Source organism: Homo sapiens, chromosome 1 (genome assembly GCF_000001405.40).
Source record: "Homo sapiens chromosome 1, GRCh38.p14 Primary Assembly".
NCBI lineage: Eukaryota > Metazoa > Chordata > Mammalia > Primates > Hominidae > Homo > Homo sapiens.
The window spans coordinates 225,689,361-225,717,123 of NC_000001.11; the positions used below are offsets into that span (position 1 = coordinate 225,689,361).

Genomic DNA, 27,763 nt, shown 5'->3' on the forward strand with positions numbered 1-27,763 from the left:
GGAATCAACCTGTGTCGGGAATACTCCCCTCTCTTAGCTAGGCCTGGTACTTTTTTTTTTCTTTTTTGAGGCTACAACAGCTGCTGAAGACAGTAGCAAGGAGAGTGTCAACCATTCTTCATTGATGCTGCTTCAATATGAACAGCGGCCCTGCTCCCCATTTCCTGCCTCATTTCTCTTTGACCTCAACTGAGTATCTTACTCCTTTGCCCGTCTGGCACTGGGATTATGGGCTCCTGAATGCTCTGGAGCTCCTTTTAATGTCATTCATAATTTAATCTTGAGCTGCAATTCTGGGTCTTTTGGTTCACACACCTCATTCTTCCTGCATATTTCACTATAAGTAGAGAGAAAAATGCTGGTCACTGGGTGCTGGTGGTAGCCATGCTCTGACCAGGGAGCCCCTGTTCATGCCTTTTGTCCAGGTCCCTGCAGTGCTGTCCTGTGGCTGTCTCTGGGCCAGGGTGGGCCTTTTCCCACCAGTGCTTTTGGTAGCAGTGCATTCCATGCAACCGCTTCACAAAGTAGATGATATTTTTCCAGGGTAACCATGTTATAATTGGGGTTTGTGTTATTAACTAAATCAATCATAATATAAAGCCAATCCAATATCATAAAAATAAAAATCAAGTGACACACAAGCCTCTGTAATAATTATGACCCAGATTAGGAGTACAGCTCATATCTGACACTGGTATGATCTGGAGCATGATTTCATCATCATCGTGTTCATAGGTGGCCCTAGTTTTGCTTTGATGAATCATCCTTGGTGGTAGCATTGGGCTCTACTTCCCATATCTAAAATTGGGTTCCTTGGAACCCAACTCTTCTGGAGGAAAACTTTTGAGTTGACATCCAGCCCCTCAGTGTCATTCCCTAAGATACCAAGACAATGAAAGCAAGGAGGATGTGTGGGTGGCCAGAGCCTTGGGCCCTCTCTGTTTCAACCATGACAAAATGTTTGATCACATTTTACAATCCTTCTGGAATTTCTTCCCTAGAGCACTGCTCTTAGCTGGGTGGCCCCCTTCTCCATCTTTTGGCACTCTCTGCGTTCCCTCCCTCTACTTAGCAGACCCAGCTTTCTGATTGATCCTACTCCCTGGCCTCTTGCTTTTTTTATATATTTTTTTCTTTTGAGACGGGGTCTCACTCTGTCATCCAGGCTAGAGTGTAGTGGTGCAATCACAGCTCACTGTAGCCTCAACCTGCCAGGCTCAAGCAATCCTCCCCACTCAGCTTCCTGAGTAGCTGGGACTACAGGTGCGCACCACCATGCCTCGCTAATGCTTAAAATTTTTTTTGTAGAGATGGGGTCTCACTATGTTGCCCAGGATGGCCTCGCACTCCTGTGCTCAAGCAATCCTCCTGCCTTGGCCTCCCAAAGTTCCACGACTTCTTTTCTCTCTTTGTCCTATCTCAGTACAGCATAAAAATGGGGAGTAACCAGGGATCCCTCAGACGTCAGCCCATAAGACACCAAGACAAACAGGGACAGATTACTGAAAAGCACAATCTAAAGAAGTCCAGGCCTGGCGTGGTGGCTCATGCCTGTAATCCCCGCAGGATCACTGGGATCGCAGTGGCTCATGCCTGTAATCCCAGGTGGATCACTTGAGGTCGGGAGTTTGAGACCGGCCTGGGCAACATGGTGAAACCCCATCTCTACTAAAACACAAAAATTAGCTGGGAGCGGTGGCAGGCGCCTGTAATCCCAGCTACTCGGGAGGCTGAGGCAGGAGAATTGCTTGAACCCGGGAAGCGGAGGTTTCAGTGAGCCAAGATGGCGCCACTGCACTCTAACCTGGGCTACAGAGAGAGATTTTATCTCAAAAAATAAATAAAATAAAAAAGAAGCCCAGGGACAAATGAGCCCACCTCCACTGTAGACACTGGGAGCCACATTCTCAAAATGAGTAACTGCAGGGAAGAGACAGAATTCTCACAAGAGGGCATATCCTCCGCCCTTCATACATTTCTCCTGTAACACCCTTCTGGTTGAAAAGAAATAAGAAAGCTGTGCTTGACTTTTGCTCTAGTGCTTTTTAAGATCAAGCAGGAATCTTACATTCTTTCATTGCCTTTCACATTTCTTTTCCTTCTTCCGTGTCCTCTTTCTTTTTAAATTCAGATCATTTAACAGACAAGGGTCATAGCTAAAAATAAATCTTCATTGACCTGAGCTACCTATGATGTCATTTACTGTATTCATAGGTCTCCAGAGTCAACACTCCAGGCATGTAGACACACACAGGAGAATAAAACCTCAGTTCCCAGGCAGCTTCCAGAAGCTGTGGCATTGCTGTGGCCTGAGGCCTGGACTTTCCCAGGGGATAGGTATCCAGATCGTTTGTGCCCTTCCATATCACCTTTCATTCAGAGGCCTTACCTGGATTGGTAGCCAAGCATTGATACTCATGCCTCCCCAAAGAGGTAAGTTTTAGTAGGAAACTGAAAGAAACCAAGGCCCAACAAAATGAGGCAACTAGACGGAGTGACTGGGGAAGTTTCCAGCCAAGTCAGATATAAAATTTGTACTGTGAAAAACTGTTATCTGTATTTTGGTATTTACCAAAAAACAGTGAGCCATGATCACTCCATGCAGTGGGTTAAACTTGTGGGAGAAGTAAATTCTGTGGTGTCAGCTCAGAACAGAACATATTGGGAATGCATAATAGAAAAGCAGTACTCTCACTCAGCTTCATAACTCCAGCAAATTTGTGGATTGGGGTTAACCACGTCTGGAATTCCAGAACTCAAGTTACCCAAGTGTGGCAGGCCAGGGGAATTTCTGCGGGCTGGATGGGAAATCTTCAAAGTCAGCATTTATTTTCATCTGCACTCAATATTTTGGCCCAATATGTAAGTAACTTGATGTCCATTCTTGTGTTGATAAGGAGCCTAAAAGCCTGGAACAGAGAAAGGAAAAGTTGGTCTCCACTTGGATCTCAATGTGGTCATCAGTCATGGAAAATGCTGACTATGACCATTCCCAATCAGCTCCTCATGCCTGGCACTAAGAGACACTAGACACCTTGGGCTGCAATGACTGCATTGTGCGTTTGTCACTTTACCATAAGCTACATGAGTCCCCAGCTGGCTGTGTTAAAGTGCTCCATCTTCCCAATAGCCATGTGTCCCTTGACGGCAGGAACACTTTCATGTTTCTTCTGCAGCTCTCATGGTGCACCATGTTGCTTATTCTTTTTTTTCCCTTTTTAAATTTATTTATTTTTAGAGATGGGGTCCTGCTATGTTGCCCAGGCTGGTCTAGAACTCCTGGCCTTAAGACATCCTCCCACCTTGGCTTCCCAAAGTTTTGGGATTACAGGCATGGGACACCACGCCCAGCCCATGTTGGTATTCTCTCTGTCAGCACCCAAACAGGGAAGCAGAACCATGTGTAAATTTTGAAGGATATATTAGGCAATGGTGGGAGAAGCTAAGGAAGGGTGCATGACAAGGAGTTAAAGCATCAGTCACAAACCAGCCTTCCTGAAGCACTGGTGTGGATGGAACAAAGTTTGCCAAGGAATATAGGCAGCTAGGCACATCTGGTTGCTGAAGTGGGACCGTGAAAGTAGAGCTGGTAGAAAAGTCTATGTTTCTGATGGTGAGCCGGCCCCACTAATGGTCTTAGGAAGAGTTGCTGGCTGTGGAATGGGAAACTGAACAAGCTGGAACCCACCAGCACCCCTGCACCTGCCAGTCAGAGCATCAAACCACAATGACCTTCAGAGAGTAGTGGCTGTTGCTTTACTTCCACCTTCCTAATCTTGGACAAATTTCTCTTTTGTCCAGCTCTCACCCAGAGGCATACCAAGAAAGGAACTTGAGAAAACCATTCCAGTTAAAGCAAGTTGACCCGGCACAGTCCAAAATCCGTGCTATGCAGCACAGTCCAAAATCCGTGCTATGCAGCACAGTCCAAAATCCGTGCTACCCAGCACAGTCCAAAATCCGTGCAGGTATGTACTAGTTGCTCAGAACACAAGCAGTCAGTTTCTAGCATTGTGAGAAAAGCCCTGATCTAAAGTCAGGATATCTAGGACTTCTGGTCATAGTTCTACCTCTAAAAATGTGTCCTGGGCTAAATTGTTAACCTCTCTGCCCCTCAGGTCCTTAGGGAAAGAAAATGACGACTCATCACCTCTTAGATGGTGCATACAGAAGTGAAGGAGTTAAAATGTTAGCAGTGAAACTGTCAAACAGTACACAGGGGGAAAAAAAAGAAACTTCCATCCAAAGACTCTAAAAGATGCTAGATTCTGTAATGTTATTTTCTCTGATTTTCTTACTGTGCATGTAAAGCATGTTTATTTACAGCTAAGTCTCCCTGCTAAAGCATGGGTTTGAAAATGAGAAATTCTAGGCTGGGCATGGTGGCTTACACCTGTAATCCCAGCACTTTGGGAGGCTGAGGCAGATGGATCATCTGAGATCAGGAGTTCAAGACCAGCCTGGCCCACATGGTGAAACCCCGTCTCTACTAAAAAAATACAAAATTAGCCGGCGTGGTGGTGGGCGCCTGTAATCCCAGCTACTCAGGAGGCTGAGGCAGGAGAATCACTTGAACCCAGGAGGTGGAGGTTGCAGTGAGCCGAGATCGCACCACTGCATTCCAGCCTGGTCAACAAGACTGACACTCCATCTCCAAAAAAAAAGAAAATGAGAAAATCTAGCTATTTTTTCCTGTAACTATAATCTTGGTGTGCTATGAAATTTGGAGCAAGTCATTAAACCATTTTCTGTCAACATTTACTTATATACAGAATGGGATTAATAATATTCTAACAATAGTAATTGACCATTAGCTAAGTCCTTTAAAGAAATGAAGTCTCCAGCATTTGTTGCATCAAGGCCCTGCAGAGCTGTATGAGCTTCAGCCCCGCTGTGTTCTACTAGACTCCAGGGCTTGCCTGTGTTATCTCCAACAGATAAGATCATGCCAGAACACATGAAGTCAGCACTCACCCCATTTAACCTTAAGTCAACACTACAGGGTTTGCTTCCTTTTACCAAGTACCAGCAAACATAGAAAAACAATCAGTTTCCTGGTTCCAGTCTGATCTGCTGCAAAGAACAAAGAAGGGACCACCTTACTTTATCCACTGGATAAAGGGAACAGGGAGCCAAAAAATGATGTAGGAGATGGTGCCAGGCCGGGGTTGAGGAAGCAGGACAGAACCCAGGAATTTGCTTTCTCCTTGGACCTACTGCTTTCTACAGAGGGTCAAAGAGTTCGGCCAGAAACCTCCTCCAAGACCAAGGTTATGTGTGTGCCTCCTTAATTAGAAAAACAGGCCAGACACAGCAGCTCACACCTATAAGTCCAGTACTTTGGGAGGTCAAGGTAGGAGGATCACTTGAGGCCAGAAATTCAAGACCTGCTTGGGCAACATAGTGAGACCTTATAATTACAAAAAAAAAAAAAAAGCCAGTCTGTTAGTTCATTTTCATGCTGCTGATAAAGACATACTTGAGACTGAGCAATTTACAAAAGAAAGAGGTTTAATTGGACTTACAGTTCCACGTGGCTGGGGAAGCCTCACAATCATGGCGGAAGGCAAGGAGAAGCAAGTCACATCTTACATGGATGGCAGCAAGCAAAGAGAGAACTTGTGAAGGAAAACTCCCCCTTATAACAACCATCAGATTTCATGAGACTTACTGTCATGAGAACACCATGGGAAAGACCTGCCCCTATGACTCAATTACCTCCCAATGGGTCACTCCCACAACACATAGGAATTCAAGATGAGATTTGGGTGGAGACACAGCCAAACCATATCACCAGGTGTGGTGGCATGTGCCTGTAGTCCCAGCTACTCAGGAGGCTAAGGTCGGAGGATTGCTTGAGCCCAAGAGTTTGAGGCTGCAGGGAGCCATGATCGTGTCACTGCACTCCAGCCTGGGTAACAGAGTGAGATCTCGTCTTAAAAAAGAAAGAAAAAAAAAAGACAACCCCAACAGCTCTGAAGGACACAAACTTCACACACACACACGCACACGCACACACACACACAAACACTTCATGAATTTCAACCCTTAGATCTGGAGGGTTAACTTCATGGCAAACATAGGGGTTACGAAAATAACGCACCATAATATTTCCCCCCTAGTTTTTCATTAACAACATGAGCCCTCCTAGGTCTGGGTACTTTGGTGTCTATCCTTAATAATTAATATCTGGGCATTAATAGTTTCAGCTCTTTCTACCTAGCATCTGTAAGCGTTAACCAGAACCTACTAACAAATGTGAACATACAACATTTGAACATAAAGTAACATCTCTGGCCTTCGAAGGTGACAAAGCTCAGAGTAGCATTTCTCATCCTAAGCTTCCAGCTGTTGGCCTGAGCATATTCACAAAGGTGAAGCCTTGTACTGCACCATCCACATTCTCTCCCATGTCTCTGCAGGTCAGGAGCATGCTTAAGCAAGTTGGCTGATGGTCTGAAGAGTTACATAGAGTCAAGGATAAACATATTTTGGTCTTTTTAAAACCCAGCATAAAAATAGCAGTAAAAATATTTCACAATAAAAATAATCATTTCTGAAGCCCTTTATTAGTTTGCCCCCTTTCTTAACTGGAAGACTTTTAAGTGACTTACAGCATTTAGGTCCAATGTCGTGTTTGTTATGTTTATATAGTAACCAAAAACTCTGGATAAATATTTATATAGTTACAAAACTTTTAACAGGCCCCAAACTTGGAATAATCCAAAAGAAACACAACGCTCCATTTTGGGCAGTTGTAAATCCCCTGTTGTCAACATAACTCAGACATTGGAAAGGAGGGAATAAGCCTGAATGGCTCCCATATGTTTGCCATGAGCAGGCTTCAAGGGATGGGGGTGGAGGAGAGAATGGAGGAAGGGGCTGCCATGGCTGGCCTGCATCGAGTGTCCTGACAGTCTGGTAATCTGCAGAGCATTGTTTTGCGCTTGTCAGCTGTTGCCCAGGGATGCCTGTGTGATAAATGAATAATGGGCTCCACAGGGCTCTCCTTACACTAAAAAATTCAGCGCATATGGTTCTGGCCAGTTTTCTATCCCATCCTATCTTTTGGTCACTCTAGAAGTACATTTGTTCCCTTGGCCATAAAAAAGAATATTACAGCTTTTAGGAGAGAATTGAGGCCAACAACTCAGAGCATCAGTCTTTAGGGACATGACATAAAGAAATCATATTTGAAACCTGGATGCAAGATCATCTAGAAAAGTACCCAGGATCAATGGGGTGGGAGAGTGGAAATAAAGGAAAATAATTTGACAAAAGTTGCTCCCTTGAATACATAAAGACCCAAACTTACTTATTTTATTTTATTTAATTTATTTTTTGAGACAGAGTCTCACTGCTGCCCAGGTTGGAGTGCAGTGGCATGATAATGATAGCCTCAAATTCCTGGGCTCAAGAGATCTTCCTGCCTCAGCTTCTAGAATAGCTGGAACTACAAGAGCATGCCACCAGGCTTAGCTAATTATAAAAAAAAAAATTTGTTTTAGAGGCAGGGTCCCAATAGGTGCTTGGGCTGCTCTTGAACTCCTGAGCTCAAGTGATCCTCCCATCTTGGCCTCCCAAAGCACCGGGATTACAACCCTGAACCACTGCACCTGTCTGGCTCAAACTTGCTCATTTTTAACTGGTAATCATTTCAGAAATTTTATGAGACAGAGAGAGAAAGAAAAGGATGCTCCTAGGCCTGTACATACAACAAGTTGGCCATGGAGTCATAGTAATTTGGGGCCAGTCCTCTATAAAATAGTAATAATAACTGTATCTACCTCCTGAGGTTGTTGTGAGACCTATCTACAGCAATACAGAAGTTGCTTCGAACAATGTCAGGCACAGAGTAAGTGGTAATCAATGCTAGCTAGTATTATTCTTCCTCAACTCTTCAGACACTGATTCACTACCCTCACCGCAGGGAAAGAGTTAAAACTAGACATATTTAGCTGTAATGACTAGAAAAATTGAGCAGAAAATCTTTCCAAAAAGTTTTGACTTGGAGAAAGGAGGTTTATGGTTCTGTTCCCTGAAAGCTATGGCCTAGCGGGGGACAGTCTCTGCCCAGCAGGAGAGAAACCCTACCGTCACTGAGGCTAAGTTAGCAGAAGACTGTTCTCTTAAGAATGGAGGCTGGGAGGGCCTTTTGGTCTTTGGATAGTTCAAAGCATTTCTCAAAGCTTTACTAGTGGGGCAAGAAATACTCAGTAAAACCTGAAATAGCCCCTGCCAGGGCTGATGGCCAACAGCTGTGGGAATGGCAGCTGCTGTGACCCACGTCACTGCACCCGACCCAGGCATGGGGATCCCTGACAAGTGGTCATGAGAGTCTCACATTTTTAATCTGTCTGGAAGCCAATGGGAGGTGTAAGGAAGCCAGATTCTGATCCCTAACAGTGGCATCCAATCAATTTGTGTAAATTTCTCATCGTGATCCCTTCCTCCTTACCATGGAGTTGGAGAGAAAGGGAGAATTCCCACACTTTGGCAATATGAAAGGACTATTCTGTAATCCTATTTTCAGGACAGTTTTCCTTCCTTTTAAAAATCCAGGTTGGCTGGGCTTGGTGGCTCATGCCTGTGTAATCTCAGCACTTTGGGAGGCCGAGGTGGGCGGATCACGAGGTCAGGAGATCAAGACCATCCTGGCTAACACTGTGAAACCCCGTCTCTACTAAAAAATACAAAAAATTAGCCGGGCGTGGTGGCGGGTGCCTGTAGTCCCAGCTGCTCGGGAGGCTGAGGCAGGAGAATGGCATGAACTCGGGAGGCGGAACTTGCAGTGAGCCGAGATCGTGCCATTGCACTCCAGACTGGGTGACAGAGTGAGACTCCGTCTCAAAAAAAAAAAATCTGCCTGTAATCCCATCACTCTGGGAGGCCGAGGTGGGTGGATCATGAGGTCAGGAGTTCAAGACCAGCCTGGCCAAGATGGTGAAACCCCATCCTACTAAAAATACAAAAAAATTAGCCAGGTGTGGTGGTGGGCGCCTGTAATCCCAGCTGAGGCACAGAATTGCTTGAACCCAGGAGGCAGAGCTGGCAGTGAGCCAAGATCACACCACTGCACTCCAGCCTGGGTGAAAAAGCGAGACTCCATCTCAAAAAAAAACAAAAAAAATTTTCAGATAAATTTCTCATCAGAATAGAATTCTATACCTGGGGCCCTTTGAATACTGTTTTGAATGTTGAACTTCATTTGAGGTGAAATAATGATGCTAACTCACATTTATTAAGCATTTACAATATGTCTTGCACCCCTGCAGGCACTTTATATCTATTTAATTTAATCATATAATGCTTATCTCTAATACCAAGGTTACATACTAGTGAGTGCCAAAGGTGGAATCCAACTCACCTTTTTCTTTTCTTTTCTCTTTTTTTTCCTTTTTTTTTTTTTTTTTCGATGGTGTCTCACTCTGCCACCCAGGCTGGAGTGCAGTGGCATGAGTTTGGTTCACTGCAATGTTTGCCTCTTGGGTTCAAGCGACTCTCTTGCCTCAGCCTCCCAAGTAGCTGGGATTATAGGTGTGTGCCACCAGGCCCAGCTAATTTTTGTATTTTTAGTAGAGACGAGGTATCACCATGTTGGCCAGGCTGGTCTTGAACTACTGACCTCAAGGGATCCGCCTGCCTCAGCCTCTCAAAATTCTGGGATTACAGGTGTGAGCCACTGTGTCTGGCCTAACACCTTTTTCTTTATAGAAAGCTGCCTGGTTTTTGAAGGAAGTCTTGAAACAATTTTTTTCTTCTTAAAAGTACTTTATAAAGTCTTTTGATTATAAAAATAATGTATGCTTATAATAGAAATTTTGGAAAATGCAAAATGTGTAAAGAAGTAGTAATTCTACTACTCCACATGTAACTGCTGTTAATATTTTAAATTCTCCTAAGGTATTTTTCTGCACATTTATTGATAATATTTCTTTTTTCTCCAAATTGTGATCTTAAAACTTTTAGACTTTCCAAAGATTTTGTAAACTTCTTTGAAATACCAGGAAGCCCATCTAACCCAGTGCAGCAAGTATGGACTTTTGAAGTTCAAACATAGTTTGGAAAATTGACCACACGGTTTCCAAGAGGAAACTAAAATTGGCAAAATGCCCTTTTCCACCCTGATAGGGGCTTTAAATGCCTAACCATTTGTTTTGCTGGCAGCAGGACCATTTTTTAGTGGCAACCAATGACTATTAGTGCCAATAAAAGTTCTTAAACCCCTCACAGCATTAATCATGCTCCAGATGTTACAAAAGTTGAGTGACCGAAAATGTACATACATTGAAGTCTTCAGCTGCTGCCTCAAGGTCATGGGGATTTCAGCTTCATTCTCTTAATTCAGAGTTAAGCCAGACCCCATCAGTGAGATTTCAGCCTCATTATAAACCACAGAGGCTTCATTTTGCATATATTTCAGCATTTTATATTTTCCTTTGGCCACTCTCATAGTGTATGTGTTCCTTTAAAACATCTCCTCTTTGATGAATAGTCCTTCCTGGGGCCCTTTTGTAGGCATGAGAGATTATACTCTGTTTTGATTCTATCTTTGCCCCTGAGATACCAACCAGTAGCATTCTTCCCACTTTGTCTGATCAAATGGAATTATTTTTAGAAGAAGCTGCTGTGTTTGAAAGACAGCTTATAATCTTAAAAAAGCCCTTTACATTGCAGACATATGGGCTTCTTGACAGTGTGTGTCTAGAATTGCAATGTTTTCTCTGCCCAGAGGACTACCTTTGAATTCACCCTTTCTGCTTGTGTGTGTCTGTAAAGATAAATGAATTGCTTTGGCACTGAATATAGTAACTGTAGCGTGCATCATTTCTGACAACTACTTCCTGAACTTCTTCCCTGAGTTTTGTACCAACTGTTCTCATTGGTTCTCCGCAGAGCTCGTGGCACAGAGGAAAATGGACATAAGGTAGCGGTAACAGGCTGGCGACTGTGGCTTTTACACATTGCTTCACACAACCCTGTCCAGGAGTTTTACACACTCACTAAACAAACAGAAGACACCATCCAATTCACTGGAGCCCCGTTGGATAAATACGGAAAGAATGTGGGAGCTATGTCATGAACCACAATGGTTTTGTGTTCTGTGTAATTTGAAGACGAGATTCCTTTGCTGTGTGTCACCTCCCATATTACCACTGTCGCCCAACATTTCATAACCATCAACTCTTTGCCAGTGCCCACATGCAAAGATGGGTTTGTATTAAAAAATAAATGAGAACAGCACATTCTGATGTGGTGTAGTATATCAGCATTTTCCATGAAACCTCGTCTCCGGCCTTCCCCTTTTAGGAAACAAAGGACCCGTGACAGAGCCTACTTATCCCGTTACAGCTCCTGGTGAGAAGGGCGAAGCCATGTCAGAAATAATAGAAAAGGCTTTTTCCTTTGAAATATCTAAACGTTCAAAGATGGGAACAGCCGCAGGGGGGAGAATACTGTGCTATGCAAGTTGATCTGATTTTGTGGACCATCCATTTCCAATTGGGAAGCTCACTTACTTTCAACTTGAAGCATCAGAAAACCAGACTTACAGCAGCTTCAGCCTATAGGGGTTTATTTTTCTCATGTAACAAGAAGAACAGAAGTGGACAGAGGCCGAGTTCTCAAGGACTCAGTTTCTTTCTGTCCCACCAACCTTACCATGTTGGATTGTCATCTTTGTGCTTGTTGCCTCATGATGGCAAGATGGCTGCAGCACCTCTGGGACTCACGACTGATTTTTAAGGTAGGAAGAAGGGGACAGGACTGTACTAGCCAGATGGCTTCCTTTCATCTGGAAAGCAAAAGGTTTCCCTGAATCCTCAGCAGATTTCTGCTGTCTTCCCATTGGCCAGAACTGTGTCACATGGTCACTTTTAATAGGTTTAAAAATGAGTTTTTCTTGGGAATATTGCTGGCTTGAACTAAATTGTGGTTCTGTTAGTGCAAAAAAGAGGAGTGGGTGGAGTTTGGTCACATACCTCACACAGCCGCTCTTCTTAAGATGCTACTTAGAGGATGGTAGGGACTGAGAGGAGGAGGCAGAAGGAGCATAGCGACCTCTTTGGAGATGTAAGTGACTGTCTACATCATGTGTTTGTAGAGCCATGGGAATCAAAAATAACTCTTGCGATAGATTAGCAGCCCCAAACTTTTTGTTCACATGCGAAAATCTCTGTAATGAATTGTTAGTTCCGTGTTACAATTATTATGAAAATCTGCTGTGTTTAAATTATTGGGAAAGTAAAAGTATGATTTTTAAAAGGTAAATCTGACCATTTTGCCCACCCCTGGCTTAAAATCCTTCAGGAGATTTCCATAGCTCTTGAGATAAAATGCACCATCCTTGGCATGGGCTCTAGAGACCTACAGGACACTATTTTAGCAGCCTCCTGTGTGTCTGTCTGCTCCAGGGCTCTCTCTCTGTCCCTCCTTTTCCCTAGAACCCTCTTTCCCCATTTGGGGCCTTGCAGCCCCTGCTTATTCTTCAGCTCTAAGATGAAGGGTTCCTTAGAGAAGCATTCCTTTACCCATCAGCCTGGCTTTGGGCACCCCAATAGGAGCGCTGAGTATTCTGATCGTCTCTTTAGCATTAATTTTTAATTTTTATTTATTTTATTTTATTTTTGAGACAGAATTTCACTTTTGTTGCCCAGGCTGGAGTGCAGTGGCACGATCTCAGCTCACTGCAACCTCCGCCTCCCGGGTTCAAGCAATTCTCTGCCTCAGCCTCCCGAGTAGCTGGGATTACAGGTGCCCGCCACCATGCCAGGCTAATTTTTTTGTATTTTTAGTAGAGATGGAGTTTCACCATGTTGGCCAGGCTGGTCTTGAACTCCTGACGTCAGGTGATCCACCTGCTTTGGCCTCGCAAAGTGCTGGGATTACAGGCATGAGCCACCATGCCCAGTGGTATTTATTTTTATAATTAATTATAAAAAATAATTAATTCTCAGTAAATTGTTTCAATTCTGCTTTCCCTGCTAGAATGTTAACTTTATGAAGGCCCCGTTGTTCTTTTTTCCTACTTGATTTGTAGCACCTAGTTGGGTGCCTGCTATGTAGTAAGCACTTAAAAAAATGTGTATTGAATGAATGAAATGAAATTTTAAAAGTATGAAGCTGCTTTGTTGATACCACATATTGGTGCCCATCAAAATACTGTCCTCGAACTGGTGTTGGCCTGCAAACTCTTCACTATTCATCTACAACAAGATAAGTCAGAAATTGAGAGGATTTAGAAACTCTTATAACAATTATCAAATTGTATGCAATGATTAGGAGATTTTTTCTTTTTTGAGACAGGGTCCTGCTCTGTCACCCAGGCTGGGGTGCAGTGGCACGATCAAAGCTCACTGCAATCTTGAACTCCTGGGCTCAAGTGATCCTCTTGCCTCATCCTTCTGAATAGCAGCTGGGACTATAGGTGTGAGCCACCACATCCAGCTAATTCTTTTTTTTTTTTTTTAAGAGATGGGGGTCTCATGTTGCCCAGGCTGGTCTTGAACTCCTGGGCTCAAAGGATTCTCCCACCTCAGCCTCCCAAAATGCTGGATTTACAAGTGTAAGCCATTGTGCCTAGCCAGATTTTTTTTTTTTTTTTAAGATGGAGTTTTGCCCTTGTCGCCCAGGCTGGAGTGCAATAGCACAATCTCAGCTCACTGCAGCCACCGCCTCCCGGGTTCAAGCAATTCTCCTGCTTCAGCCTCCCGAGTAGCTGGGATTACAGACACCCGCCACCATGCCCAGCTAATTTTTTGTATTTTTAATAGAGACGGGGTTTCACCATGTTGGCCAGGCTGGTCTTGGACTCCTGACCTCAGGTGATTTACCCACCTCAGCCTCTCAAAGTGCTGGGATTACAGGCATGAACCACCACGCCCAGCCCCCAGAAATTTTTAAAAATAAAATCAAATTGGCCAAGCGTGGTGGCTCGCCCCTGTAATCCCAGCACTTTGGGAGGCCAAGGCGGGTGGATCACGAGGTCAGGAGATCGAGACCATCCTGGCTAACAAGGTGAAACCCCGTCTCTACTAAAAATACAAAAAATTAGCCAGGCGTGGTGGCAGGCGCCTGTAGTCCCAGCTACTCGGGAGGCTGAGGCAGGAGAATGGTATGAACCCGGGAGGCGGAGCCTGCAGTGAGCTGAGATCACGCCACTGCACTCCAGCCTGGGTGACAGAGCGAGACTCCGTCTCAAAAAAGAAAAAAAATCAAATTAGTCCTTCGCACAGTTTGAGAAACACTGCTATGGGTTAGATACTGCAAACTATCATTACACTAATAAAATGCAAACACTTCTGAAGCTTCAGGAGCTCAGAAGCCACTGTCAGCCGCATGGGAAGCCGGCAGGTCAACAACAACCTCCTGCAAGAGGGAAACCATATAGCCCCCACATCCCCTTCCCACTTCCTGAGTGGAATCTTAACTCCTTAACTTCCCAGCAAGTTATTTAACCCAGCTGCCTCAGTTTCCTCATGTGTAAATGGGGATTATAAAAGAACCTTCTTCACAGTGTTATTTTGAAAGATTACGTGGGGGCAACTATATGCAAAGCGTTTAGTGCAGAATCTGTCTCCAGTATACACTAGCTAAGCATCTGCTATTATTATTACTTGCAAACCATTTTGCAAAAAATAAAAGAAGATTTTTTTAAAAAAAAACAGTTTTGATTAAAATAACACCTCAAATACAACAGCACACTGAACAGAGATGGTATCAAGCCTACACTGAGAGCAAAGTGCCTGCTGGGAGGATATGCAGTTGTGTGTGCCTGAGGCCTGGCTCTGACCTCATATCAAGGAAAATATTTGCATGGCAGAGCTGTTATATTCATGCGTGATTCTTTTTTCTTTTCTTTTCTTTTTTTTTTTTTTTTTTTTTTTTTTGAGACGGAGTCTTGCTCTGTCGCCCAGGCTGGAGTGCAGTGGCGCGATCTCTGCTCACTGAAAGCTCCGCCTCCTGGGTTCATGCCATTCTCCTGCCTCAGCCTCCCAAGTAGCTGGGACTACAGGCGCCCGCCACCATACCTGGCTAATTTTTTTGTGGTTTTTCAGTAGAGACGGGGTTTTACCATGTTAGCCAGGATGGTCTCGATCTCCTGACCTCATGATCCACCTGCCTTGGTCTCCCAAAGTGAGGCCTTGGCCTCTTTTTTTTTTTTTTTTTTTTTTGTGAGATGGAGTTTCGCTGTTGTTGCCCAGGCTGCAGTGCAATGGTGTGACCTTGGCTGACTGCAACCTCTGCCTCCCGGGTTCAAGTGAGTCTCCTGTCTTAGCCTCTGGAGTAGCTGGGATTACAGGCACACACCACCATGCCCGGCTTATTTTTTGTATTTTCAGTAGAGACAGGGTTTCGCCTTGTTGGCCAGACTGGTTTCAAACTCCTGACCTCAGGTGATCCACTCTCCTCGGCCTCCCAAAGTGCCGGGATTACAGGCATAAGCCACGAGCCCAGCCTCATGCATAATTCTTACAGGGGAAAACTTGCAAACTGAACAGAGAGAGAGAGGGATGACTCTTTTTTTGTTTTTTCATTACTATTATATTTTTTTCTAACTCAGGAAATGGCTGAAATTCTATCATTAAGACTGCAGGCTGGGTGCAGTGGTTCACGCCATCCCAGCACTTTTGGGAGGCCGAGGCGGGCGGATCACCTGAGGTCAGGAGTTGGAAACCAGCCTGGCCAACATGGTAGTCTCTACTAAAAATACAAAATTAGCTGGGCATGGTGGCGCATGCCTGTAATCCCAGCTACTCGGGAGGCTGAGGCAGGAGAATCGCTTGAACCCGGGAGGCAGAGGTTGCAGTGAGCCAGGATCACTCCACTACACTCCAGCCTGGGCAACAAGAGCAAAACTCCGTCTCAAAAAAAAAAAAAAAAAAAAACAGAAAACAAAAAACAAAAAAAAAAAAACCCAGCTTCTTCTTAGTTGAAGTCTTTAATGTAAAATGCAAGTACAACTTAAATAGGTTACGTTTTTAGTCCTTCTCAGTCATTTACACTTTAATGTGAAGAAAACCTCTGAAGGCATCTTAGATGGTAGAGGCCTTGCTCCTGTCTTACTGTAACCTGGCACTTGCTCCCCAACTCCACCCCCACTCCGCAAAATCCCGCCCATCATAGAGTTTAGCTTAGCTCGTACCTTAAGCTTCAAGATTTCTTTGACTGTTCCAGCCTGGCTGTTCTCTCTCTTCCCTGGTAGGAAGCACAGTCTGTGCCACATAACTTGGCACTTATATTCTGCCATCCAGTGTTCAGTAGAGTTCCGTGTGTGTATCTTAGTCACACCTCTGAGTTCAGAGGGCCACTTTTTGATAACTTTTCCTTCCCCACCACCGGGCTGCACACAGAACAGGTGCTCAATGAACCCGTGTTGAACGATGGGGAAGGTGAGGCAGAAACCTAGGGCATATGTGTCAGTAGAGAGTAGGGGCAAGCCTCGAACGTGAGCTGGACTAAGTCATTTGTGACCTTAAAGAAAGTGTGTTTGGCTGGGCGCGGTAGCTCACGCCTGTAATCCCAGCACTTTGGGAGGCCGAGGCGGGCGGATCACGAGGTCAGGAGATTGAGACCATCGTGGCTAACATGGTGAAACCCCGTCTCTACTAAAGATACAAAAAATTAGCCGGGCGTGGTGGCGGGCGCCTGTAGTCCCAGTTACTTGGGAGGCTGAGGCAGGAGAATGGCGTGAACCCAGGAGGCAGAGGTTGCAGTGAGCCAAGATCACGCCACTGCACTCCAGCCTGGGCGACAGAGCGAGACTCCGTCTCAACAACAAAAAAAAAAAAAAAAAAAAAAAAAAAGGAGAGAAAGTGTGTTCAATATAGACGGGAAGGAGAGGGGGCCAGGAGGAAAGAGCGAGAGGGTGAAAACAATGATGGAGGCAGAAAGTATAGTGGAAAATCCCTTTTAAAATAATTTGTTGGCCAGGTGCAGTGGCTCACACCTGTAATCCCAGCACTTGGGGAGGCCAGGGTGGGCGGATCGCTCAAACCCAGGAATTCGAGACCAGCCTGGGCAACATAGTGAAAGCCTGTCTCTGCAAAAAATACAAAAATTATCCAGGCATGGTGGCACATGCCTGTGGTCCCAGCTACTTGGGAGACTGAGGCAGGAGGATCACTTGGGCCCAGTAGGTAGGGATTGCAGTGAGCTTTGATCACACTGCTGCACTCCGGCCTGGGTGACAGGAGTGAGACCCTGTATCAAAAAAAAAAAAAAGAAAAAGAAAAGAAAAAGTCACAATGTTTTCAAGATAGAAGAGACTTCATTCAGCTTGTATATCTGTAGAAAGGAAGGAGACCACAGACAGGACGCTGTTAAATGGGAAGAGAAGGGGACAATGGGTGCATGATGGTTCCTAAGAGGCATAGCACCAAGGGTTCTCATAGAAGGGCTAACCTTGGCTGGAAGGAGGGACCCCTCCTCTTCTGACGCAGAAAGGAAGGCAAGGTGGGTAAGTGATGATACATTGATGCTGAGGGGTGGAGAAGAAATGAATGAGGGAGGGAGCTGGTAGACTTGACCTCAGAAAAGACAGAATCCACGTTCTTCTCTTCCAAAGGAAAGTCACCCCACCTCTTCTCTCCTCCACCCCTGGCTCAGAGTTTGAGGCTTGGCAGTGGAAAGAATGTGTGGGTCAGTGATGAGCTTTCAGAAAAGAGGTGCTTAAAAAGCTTACACAGTAACCTCCAAGGACCAGGTTTCTACTGGCTACATGGATATGTAGAAGAACCAGTGGCCCATTCATTCACCCAGCAATCATGTGTCCTCCATTTATGTACCCAACATTCACGTGTCCTCCATTTATTCACCCAACAATCACCTGTCCTCCATTTATTCACCCAACAATCACGTGTCCTCCATTTGTTCACCCAGCAATCACGTGTCCTCCATTCATTCACCCAGCAATCACATGTCCAGCACCTACCTCGAGCCAGGTGCTACTTAGAGCCTTGTTCAGCAGTGAACAAAAGAGGCTGAGTCCCTTCATGAAGGAGTTCGCAGACTAGATGAGAAGACAGGCAAACAGGCAGTTGGGACACAGTGTGGGGAATGCTACAGTAGGGTAAATAAGGGGAGCTGTCGGGGGGATGGCCCCAGTGGTAACAAAAACTTAAGGCTGCAAAGATTAATCTATTTAGAGTGAGTGGCAGAATCAAAGGCCCAAAGACAAGAAGGAGCCTGGCTTTTTGGAAAGTAAAAGTGGAGCTGTGTGGCTGGAGCGAAGGGTAGGTGGCAAAGAAGAGAAAAGACCTGAGGTTGGAGAGGTAAGCAAGGGCTGATCACAGGGAGCAGAGCCTGCCCCTCCAGTCCCACCCAACCTGCCTAGAGTCTGTGTTTTATCCTGCGGCAGGGAGGGAGTTGGAAACAAGAAGGCCAGTTACAAGAGAGTAGTGACTGTGTAAGTGAAAAGAAACAAATGGAGTTGAGAGATTTATAGGCGGGATAATGGACAGGCCTTGTTAATTGATTGGCTAAAGAAGAAGTAAAGGGAGACTCTCAAGTTTCTAGCATGGGCAACTGGGTCAAGGGAGATGCTGTTCACTGAAATAGGAAACAGGAGGAAGGACTAGTTTATGGGGGAAGATGAAGAGCTTATTTTGAGCATGTGGATTTTGAAGGGCCTGTGGGGAATGTAAATGGGGAATGGCAGCAGACAGCTGGATTTATGTGTCTGGAGCCTGGAAGAGAGGTCTGGACTGGTGGCACTGGATGATTGATCTCCAGCTTTGGATGATGATGGAAGCCTCAGAATCATCGGGATGAACCAGAGGAGAGGAAAGAGTAAGAAAAGAACAAAACGAGGGCTAGACCAGCAGAGAATACAGCCACTTAGGGATGAGCAGAAGCCGAAGAACTCACAAAGGGAGAGGAGCCCACACAGGACACTGGGAGGAGGGGCTGGGAAAGTAGGAGTTAAAGGAGTTAAAGAGCTGGATGTCCTGAAGTCAAGGGATGAAAAGCACATTAAAGGGGGAACAATAAGCAACTTGGGAAGCTACTGAGAGGTCAAGGAAGAAAAGACTCAAGGCAGTCACTGGATCAAGCCACAGGGAGGTTTTAGTAACCTTGCTAAGACTGACTCCGAGGAGTGCTGGGTGGATGCAGAAAGGAAGGGAGGAAGACAGCGTCACAGAGACAGTGAATGCGAGCTACTCTCCAAAGACTGCAGCTGAGAAAGAAGGACAGATGGAGGGGCAGGTGAGGTCAAGGAAAGTTCTTAATTACGCTGCCATCTTTAAAAATTGAAGTAAATTGTATTTGTTTATATGGTGATGGGTAGGAGGCTATAGAAGAAAGGCTGAAGGAACAGGGAGAGTGAATAACTGATAAGAGTGGAGTTTCTGAAAAGGCAAGATACCATGGAAGGCATTGGCCTTGGACAGAAATGATAAGAATAGTAACAGCAATATTAATAATTAAAGAAAGTTTCTTGTGCCAGGCACCATGTACCTTTTCCATTATCTCTGTTTGTTTGTTTGTTTGTTTGTTTGAGACAAGGTCTTGCTCAGTTGCCCAGGCTGGAGTGCAGTGGTGCAATCATGGCTCACTGCAGCCTCGATCTCGACTCCGCCTCAAAAAAAAAAAAAAAGTGGGGGACAATCTTTAACTGAGGCCCTCACAATTGCTCCATGTCACAGAGCTAATAAATGATGCAGCTGGGGCTCGTTCCATCCTTAACAGAGGAATAAAGGGGAAGATGGACTCAGGTGCAGTAATGTTGCAGGTTTGGTGACTGTGGGCATTGTCCTCTGATTACCTCTATCTCCTGTGAAGTAGGAGGTAGGGGGGTGGTGGCGGAGGGGTCAATGGGAGGGAGAGGTTACCCAATCACCTGTAGTGAATGCTGTGACAGATGAGCAGCTGTTGAGGGCCACATCTCCAGTAGCTCCGGCAGCCAGCGGGCAGAAGAAGGAGGAGTCGGTGACACAGGACTGGGACTGGTTCTCACTTGTCTCTCCCTGTTTTTAACCTTCCAAAACTGAGGGAGGACCTGCCTTAGAGGTGTACTAGCTGGAGTGCCAATTTAGTTCCAGAAAGGAAGTGGAATCTCTGGTTACCTGCCAATGTTAATACATGTCAGAACAATAGTCCTGCTTGGGTCCTAGAAAATTGTGGTGCAACACCCATGTCATTATCGTCCTTATAATTTTTCATAGGCTTTGTAGCAACTTTGTAATTTGTGCTGAATTTCATTGACATACCAAATCTCAACAGCACAATACTTTTTAGTTCTGAAATGTTTCATTCATTCCATCTTTCATTTATTCATTCCACAAATATTTATTGAGAGTCAGGCAGTGGTGGCCAATACATCCAATGTTCCTGTCCTCACAAACCAGGAAAACACACCTATTTTAACTAGACTAGATGTGCGCCCCATGAGGTCATGGGCTTTGATTATTTTATTCACCACTTCATTCTGAGTGCCTGAAACAGTGCCTGGCATGTAAGGGATGCTCAATAAATGTTTGTTTGCAGAGGTGCATTTATCATGAAACTAAACAGAGTTTAAGCTTCATAGCCCCTCAATTGCACTGTCCTCTTTCATGGCTCTGGGAGGGGACTACTGTGTGCTCTCATGGTAATCTGTTTTTATAAAAATTTCAAAGGTAAGATACTTTAACTAGTTCTCTGTCTCTACCCTAACTTCCCCTCTACCACTTTCCGCTGATGTCAGTGACATTGGAGAGGCCATGGGCATTCTGGATATCCAGCTAAGAGGAAGTTGCATTGGGACTACATTTAGTATGGGATGTTGGGGACATATTTATGGGATGTGGGAGACGTATGTGGTATGCTGTCACTTAGGTAGATATGAAGTTATTGCTAGCTAGCAATATATAGCAATATAGCTATATCAGTACATAGGTGACGTCCAGGAATACTCCTTTACTCACTGTAAAGACCCACCTGGCATGTCATAAAGGTACAGGGTCAGATGTGATGTCACAAAATGAGCCTGTCCTGGGCTCCTGGCACTAGAAGTTTGGGGGTGGTAGAGAAACAAGGGCTTTTTTAAAAGAAGGCCTCCAAAATTGTCCAAGCTTCAGGCCCCTCAAAATGTGAATCTGCCCTTAACTGGATATGGATAAATCTAAATCAGCTCATACTTTATTTTCTCTCACATTTACAGACTACAGAGCCTAAGTCAAAGCTTGTTCTTGGACCCAGGAAATATGTCAAATCCTTCCAGTGAATGGTATGTCTTCCTAAATGACGCACTTGTGAGAACAGCTGGACCTAACTGTCTAAAGGACAGCTAGCTTCCAGCCCGATTTTCAGAGCTGATATATCAAAATCTAATTCCTTTTACAGAATAGCCAAATAAATATTTTCACTGTCAAATTCTTCACACCAAATGCTGTACAAGCAAAATCATTATACCTTAGATAATGACTGTATTATATTCGTAGATTTCTAGTGGTGTTCATTTATTCACTCACTCACTTGATAAATACACGAAGTCCTTACTACAAGTCAGGTATTGGGGGTAATACATTAACTAAGACACAGTCCCCTTCTTCAAAGAGTCTAGTGGGGGAGTGAGACATTTAAACAGGCGATGACAATACATGATTCACACTAAGATTGGGGTTGATGATGAGCACAGCATTTTCGAAGCACTTGGGTGGAGCTCCCACCTTGGCAAGGCAAGTCAGGGAATGCTTCTTGGAAAAGCTGAGTCAACCTCTCGGCAGGGATGCTGGAGCACTGGGTGGGAGGGTGAACTGGATCAAAGGTTCCCAAATCTGGCTGATCATCAGAATCACCTGGGGGAGCTTCGAGAGTCCCAGGCTTGCCCCCAACCTACTGACTCAATTTCAGTGGGGTGAATTTCAGGAATCTGTCTCCTAAAAAATAAAAGCATGCCTGGTGGGTTTTTGATCCACCAAATTTGGTGAAGTGGATGACTTGTGATTTTGGGGAGAGGGCCCAGGGCAGGAAGGGGTAGATAAAAAAGCCCACGGGAGGCTGCAGAATGCCCTATGGAAAAGGCAGAGTAAGGAGGGGCTAAGGCACAGGTAGGCAGAGGAGACTTTCCAGGCAAGGGGAAAAAGAACCTTCTACATGGGCTGTTTGAAGGAGCTCAGGCCCTTTTAGAACAGTCACTCAGCATGGCTGGCAGCTCACAGGGCCGCTGGCTAACTCAGGTTCGGAAAATCATTTAGCAACCTGATAGAGACCACAGAGGTGGCTGTGTTTCATGTTGGGGAAAGGGGCAGGAATGCCTGCACTGTGGAGCAGGAAGGAAAAGGCTCAGACTGCACCTGTGACCCTGCAGGGACTTTGGTCCCCTGAAAGCTTTGCACTAGTCCAACTTCCAATGCTCTGGTTTAAGAAACCTCCTTGTGTCATTTGCCTCTTTTTTTTTTTTTTTTTTTTTTTTTTGAGATGGTCTTGCTCTGTTGCCCAGGCTGTAGAGCAGTGGTGTGATCACAGCTCATTGCAGCCTTGACCTCCCAGGCTCAAGCTATCCTCCCACCTCAGCTTCCCGAGTAGCTGGGACCACAAGCATGCACCACCACACATTTTTGTATTTTTTGTAGATATGGGTTTTTACCATGTTTACCAGGCTGGTCTCAAATTCCTGGGCTCAAGCAATCTTCCTGCCTTAGCTTCCCAAAGTGCTGAGATTATAGGTGCGAGCCACCACACCCAGCCTTTTTTTCTTTTTTTTTCTATAAATATATATATATATTATATATATATATATATATAATACTTTAACTTCTGGGATACATGTGCAGAACATGCAGGTTTGTTACATAAGTATACATGTGCCATGGTGGTTTGCTGCACCTCTCAAACCGTCATCTAGGTTTTAAGCCCCACATGCATTAGGTATTTGTCCTGATGCTATCCCTCCCCTTGCCCCCTACCCTTTTATTTTCCTTTCCTTTCTCTTTTTTATTTTTTAGAGATGGTGTCTCACTATGTTGCCCAGGCTGGTCTCCAACTTCTGGGCTCAAGCAATCCTCCTGCCTCAGCTTCCCAAGTAGTTGGGATTGCAGGCATAGGCCAGCACATCTGGCCCCTTTTCTTTTTCTAATAACAGCTTTACTTAGATGTACTTTACATGCCATAAAATTCACCCTTTTAAAGCGTACAATTAAGTGGTTTTTAGTATATTCACAGAATTGTGCAACCATCACCACTATTTAATTTTAGAACATTTCATCACTCCAAAAAGAAACCGGCACCTATTAAGTCACTTCTCATTTCCCTACCCCATCCCCATCCCCTAGCAACCAACAATCTACTTTCTATCTCTATAAATTTGACTCTTCTGGATACTTCCTGTAAATAGAATAATACAATATATAGTCTGCCTGGTGTCTGGCTTCTTTTTTTTTTTTTTTTTCTTGAGACAGAGTCTCGCTCTGTAGCCCAGGCTGTAGTGCAGTGGTGCGATCTCAGCTCACTGTAACCTCTGCCTCCTGGATTCACACCATTCTCCTGCCTCAGCCTCCCGAGTAGCTGGGACTACAGGTGCCCGCCACCATGCCCGGCTAATTTTTTTGTATTTTTAGTAGAGATGGGGTTTCACCGTGTTAGCCAGGATGGTCTTGATTTCCTGACCTCGTGATCCGCCCACCTCAGCCTCCCAAAGTGCTGGGATTACAGGCCTGAGCCACTGCACCCGGCCATCTGGCTTCTTATTAGCATGTTTTCGAAGTTCAACCATGTTGTATGTGTCAGTACTTCATTCCTTTTGGTGGCTCAGTAATTCTCCGTTGTATGGATTTGGTTTATTCATCCATCAGTTGATGGACATTTTGGTTGTTTCTACCTTTTGGCTGTTAGGAATAACACTGCTATGAACATTTGTGTACAAATTTCTGCATCAACATAGGTTTTTAATTCCCTTGGATATATATGTAGGAGTGAAATTTCTGGGTCATATGGTAATTTTATTTAACTTTTTGAGGAACTACAAAGTTGTGTTCCAAAGCAGTTGCCCTGTTGTATGTTCCCACCAGCAATGTATGAGGGTTCTGATTCCTCTATATCCTCCCCAACACTTTTTTTTTCTTTTGAGACGGAGCCCTGCTCTATCCCCCAGGCTGGAATGCAGTGGTGCAATCTCGGCTCACTGCAACCTCCGCATTCCTGGTTCAAGCCATTCTCCTGGCTCAGCCTTCCGAGTAACTGGGACTATAGGCGTGCGCTACCACACCCAGCTAGTTTTTGTAGTAGAGACAGGGTTTCACCATGTTGGCCAGGCTGATCTCGAACTCCTGACCTCAGGTGATTGGCTCACCTCATCCTCCCAAAGTACTGGGATTACAGGTGTGAGCCACTGCGCCTGGCCCCAACACTTGTTTTTATTCCTTTTTTTTTTTTTTTTTTTTTTTTCTGAGATGGAGTCTCGCTCTGTCGCCCAGGCTGGAGTGCAGTGGCGCAATCTTGGCTCACTGCAACCTCTGCCTCCCGGGTTCAAGCAATTCTCCTGCCTCTGCCTCCCAAGTAGCTGGGACTACAGACGCGTGCCACCATGCCTGGCTAATTTTTTGTATTTTTAGTAGAGACGGGGTTTCACCATGTTAGTCAGGATTGTCTCAATCTCCTGACCTCATGATCTGCCCGCGTCGGCCTCCCAAAGTGCTGGGATTACAGGTGTGAACCACTGCACCGGCCTACAATCCATTTTGAATTAATTTTTTTTTTTTTGAGAGATAGAAAAGGTCTCTCTCTGGCACCCTGGCTGGAATGAGGTGGCATGAATATGGCTCACTGCAGTCTCAGCCTCCTGGGCTCAAGTGATCCTCCTGCCCCAGCCTCCCCAGTAGCAGGGCCCACAGATTGTACCACCATGCCAGGCTAATTAAAATATATATATATTTTTGTAGACATAGGGTTTTGCTATGTTGCTCAGGCTGGTCTCGAACTCCTAGGCTCTTCCTGCCTCGGCCTCCCAAAGTGCTGGGATTACAGGTGTAAGCCACCACACCCAGCCTTAAATTAATTTTTATATGATATGATATGATATGATATGATATGATATAGGGGGTTCAATTTCATTGTTTTGCATGAGGAAATCCAGTTACCCCACACCATTTGTTGAAAAGATTATTTTTCCTCATTGAATTGTCTTGCCACTCTTGTTGAAAATCAATTAACCATATCTGACAGTGTATTTCTGGACTCTCAATTATATGCCATTAATTTCTATCCTTATTACAGTATCCTGCTGTCTTGACTATTGTAGCTTTGTAGTAAATTTTGAAATTGGGAGGTGTGAGTCCTCCAACTTTGTTCTTCTTTTCCAAGATTGTTTTGGCTATTCTGGGTCCCTTATATATTCATATAAATTTTAGGATCAGTTTGTCAATTTCTGCAAAAAAGTATAAAAGGGGCAGCTAAAATTTTGATAGGGATATTGTTGAAATCATTTATTATTGAAGTAGTTCCATGAGGCCACTAACAGGTCAGAGTGGGAAACAACCATTTATTATCTGTTTGACAGGAAAACTGAGACACAAACAGTGAATTTTAAAACTTCCTCAGCCTGACAGTGCTGCTTTCAACAGCAGAACAGCTATCTCCCAAATCCCATGATGCCAATTTCCTTCTGTCCTTATTAGAAGCAAATATTTCCTGAGTGTTTGCTCTGTGCCAGGCACAGTTCCAGGCCCTCAACAATGTAGAGGTCAAGCTTGAGAAAGAACCATATAAAACTTGCTGTCAGGCCGAGTGTGGTGGCTCATGCCTGTAATCCCAGCACTTTGGGAGGCCGAGGTGGGTGGATCACTTGAGGTCAGGAGTTTGAGACCAGCCTAGCCAACATAGTGAAACCCTGGCTCTACTAAAAATACAACAATTAGCCAGGCTTGATGGCGGATGCCTGTAATCTCAGCTACTCAGGAGGCTGAGGCAGGAGAATCATTTGAACCCGAGAGGCAGAGGTTGCAGTGAGCCAGGATCGTGCCACTGCACTCCAGCTTGGACGACAAAGCAAGACTCTGTCTCAAAAAAACAAAAAACAAAAAAACTTGCTGTCAAATCAATTGCTCTTTCTAAGAGAGGTGATGTCCATCAGGAATTTTCATTCTCTCTACTATCCAATGTATACCAACCAAATTTTCTTTTAACTTAATAATTTACTATTTTTCCTTTCCTGATTATCTATCACAGAAAATTTAAAAGATACAAAAATTCCAAAGAACAAAATAAAAATTACCTATAATCCCATAAATCAGAGACAGTCGTTATTAACATATTGGTCTAAGACTTTAAACTCTATAATAATAATAGTTAACATGGTGGTGAGTGTGTGTCTGGCCTGTTTAAATATTTTACATTCATCAATTCAGTTTAATCCTCACGAAAAACCAACGAGTTAGGTATTTATTTATTTATTTGTTCACTTATTCAGAACATGTTTTTCAGCCCCTATTATGTGTTGGGTCCTTAGCTATGTGCTTAGCATGCATTAGTAAATCAAATGAATAAAAATCTCTGTCTTCTTTGATTTTACATTCTAGAAGGGGAAATTGCTGCTAAACAGTATGATAAATAGGTTAATTATATACTACGTTAGAAGATGTTAAGTGCCATAGACAGGGATGGGGTGGAGAGGAGGTGGTATGGGTTGCCTCACTGAGTAGTAAATAGGATAGTCAGGTCTGTTTGTCTGCTTACCGTGATCGTAGTGGATGCTCTGGTTCTGCCTAGGTGCCTTTCAGGATTGGAGACTACTCCCCCAGTTGCTGATGGTGTGGTCAGCCCTCAGTTTTCAGTCCTCTTTGGGAATTGCCTTGGATGAAGAAAGTCACCTCACCCAAGATCACTCCAACTCCTGGGACCCACATCCAATGATTGGCCAATATGGGGACTCAAAGGCCTGGTCCCCCTTCCCCAACTTGAGACTACTCTGAAGGATCACCCAGCTTCAGAGCTTCCCATGGTTGAGACTTTTAGACTTCACTGTGGTCCAACCAATCTCTTCCTATACACGGTCCTGACTCCTTCACTTCCCTCCCAGCACTTCTTCTGTGTTAATATCAAACTTCTGTGCTAATAACAAACTTCTTCCGTGCTAATATCTCTCAGTGTCTCCTTCCCTGGGAACTCAACCCTAGATTGTTTATACCAGCAGTGATCCAAGAAAGAGATGCCAACATGAGATTTTGGAATTGGATCACCTACCATCCAGCTGGCAGTGCAGACCCCATCAGTGGCAGTAGAAGAAGTACATATAGTCCGTAGCACAAGATAGCAGTGAAATTGTTAAAACTTTTGCCAATGGTGAACTAGAATGGTATTCCCATGGAAGGAAATGCACCAGAGGGTGTGACCTATCAGGTGGTTGAGAAATATGGGGAGAATTACCACAAGGACAATTCAATTAGGTGGCTTTCACTAAGGATAATTAACACTTTGAAAAAAATAATGAAATGTTGAAAAGGATTCATCAGCAATTGAAAACTGAGTGGAGCTCATAGGGATACTCTCATCCCTTGCACCTGGAGGAAAGGGAAAGCTGAGGACCAGGTACATGGTGTAATCCTAATAGTAGCAGAGTGCAGGCCGGGTGCGGTGGCTCATGCCTATAATCCCAGCACTCTGGGAGGCCAAGGCGGGTAGATCACGAGGTCAGGAGTTCAAGACCAGCCTGGCCAAGATGGTGAAACACCATCTCTACTAAAAATACAAACAGCTGGGCACGGTGGCTCACACCTGTAATCCCAGCACTCTGGGAGGCCGAGGCAGGCAGGTCACCTGAGGTCAGGAGTTTGAGACCAGCCTGACC

General features: G+C 44.7%; 1 long non-coding RNA gene across 1 annotated transcript, besides 3 other annotated features; it reads left to right on the plus strand.

Annotated features, from left to right (window-relative positions):
• Nucleotides 1-2,326: 2,326 nt before the first annotated feature.
• LOC102723834 (uncharacterized) lies at nt 2,327-27,053 on the plus strand. The gene is made up of 4 exons (XR_426933.4): nt 2,327-2,433; nt 10,897-11,746; nt 21,143-21,208; nt 26,686-27,053. It is a non-coding gene; the product is annotated as an uncharacterized LOC102723834 (long non-coding RNA).
• Nucleotides 10,396-11,595: an enhancer, noted in NCBI's record as "P300/CBP strongly-dependent group 1 enhancer chr1:225887458-225888657 (GRCh37/hg19 assembly coordinates)". NCBI's record gives its function as "activates an origin of replication core promoter dependent on BRD2, BRD4, P300/CBP, MED14 and CDK7 cofactors, with strong dependence on P300/CBP, by STARR-seq in HCT116 cells {active_cell/tissue: HCT116}" and the evidence as "EXISTENCE:reporter gene assay evidence [ECO:0000049][PMID:35650434]".
• Nucleotides 20,914-22,113: an enhancer, noted in NCBI's record as "CDK7 strongly-dependent group 2 enhancer chr1:225897976-225899175 (GRCh37/hg19 assembly coordinates)". NCBI's record gives its function as "activates an origin of replication core promoter dependent on BRD2, BRD4, P300/CBP, MED14 and CDK7 cofactors, with strong dependence on CDK7, by STARR-seq in HCT116 cells {active_cell/tissue: HCT116}" and the evidence as "EXISTENCE:reporter gene assay evidence [ECO:0000049][PMID:35650434]".
• Nucleotides 23,254-23,420: a silencer, noted in NCBI's record as "fragment chr1:225900316-225900482 (GRCh37/hg19 assembly coordinates)". NCBI's record gives its function as "represses an EF-1alpha promoter that drives an FKBP-Casp9 reporter gene in an ReSE screen in K562 erythroleukemia cells {active_cell/tissue: K562}" and the evidence as "EXISTENCE:reporter gene assay evidence [ECO:0000049][PMID:32094911]".
• Nucleotides 27,054-27,763: the final 710 nt, after the last annotated feature.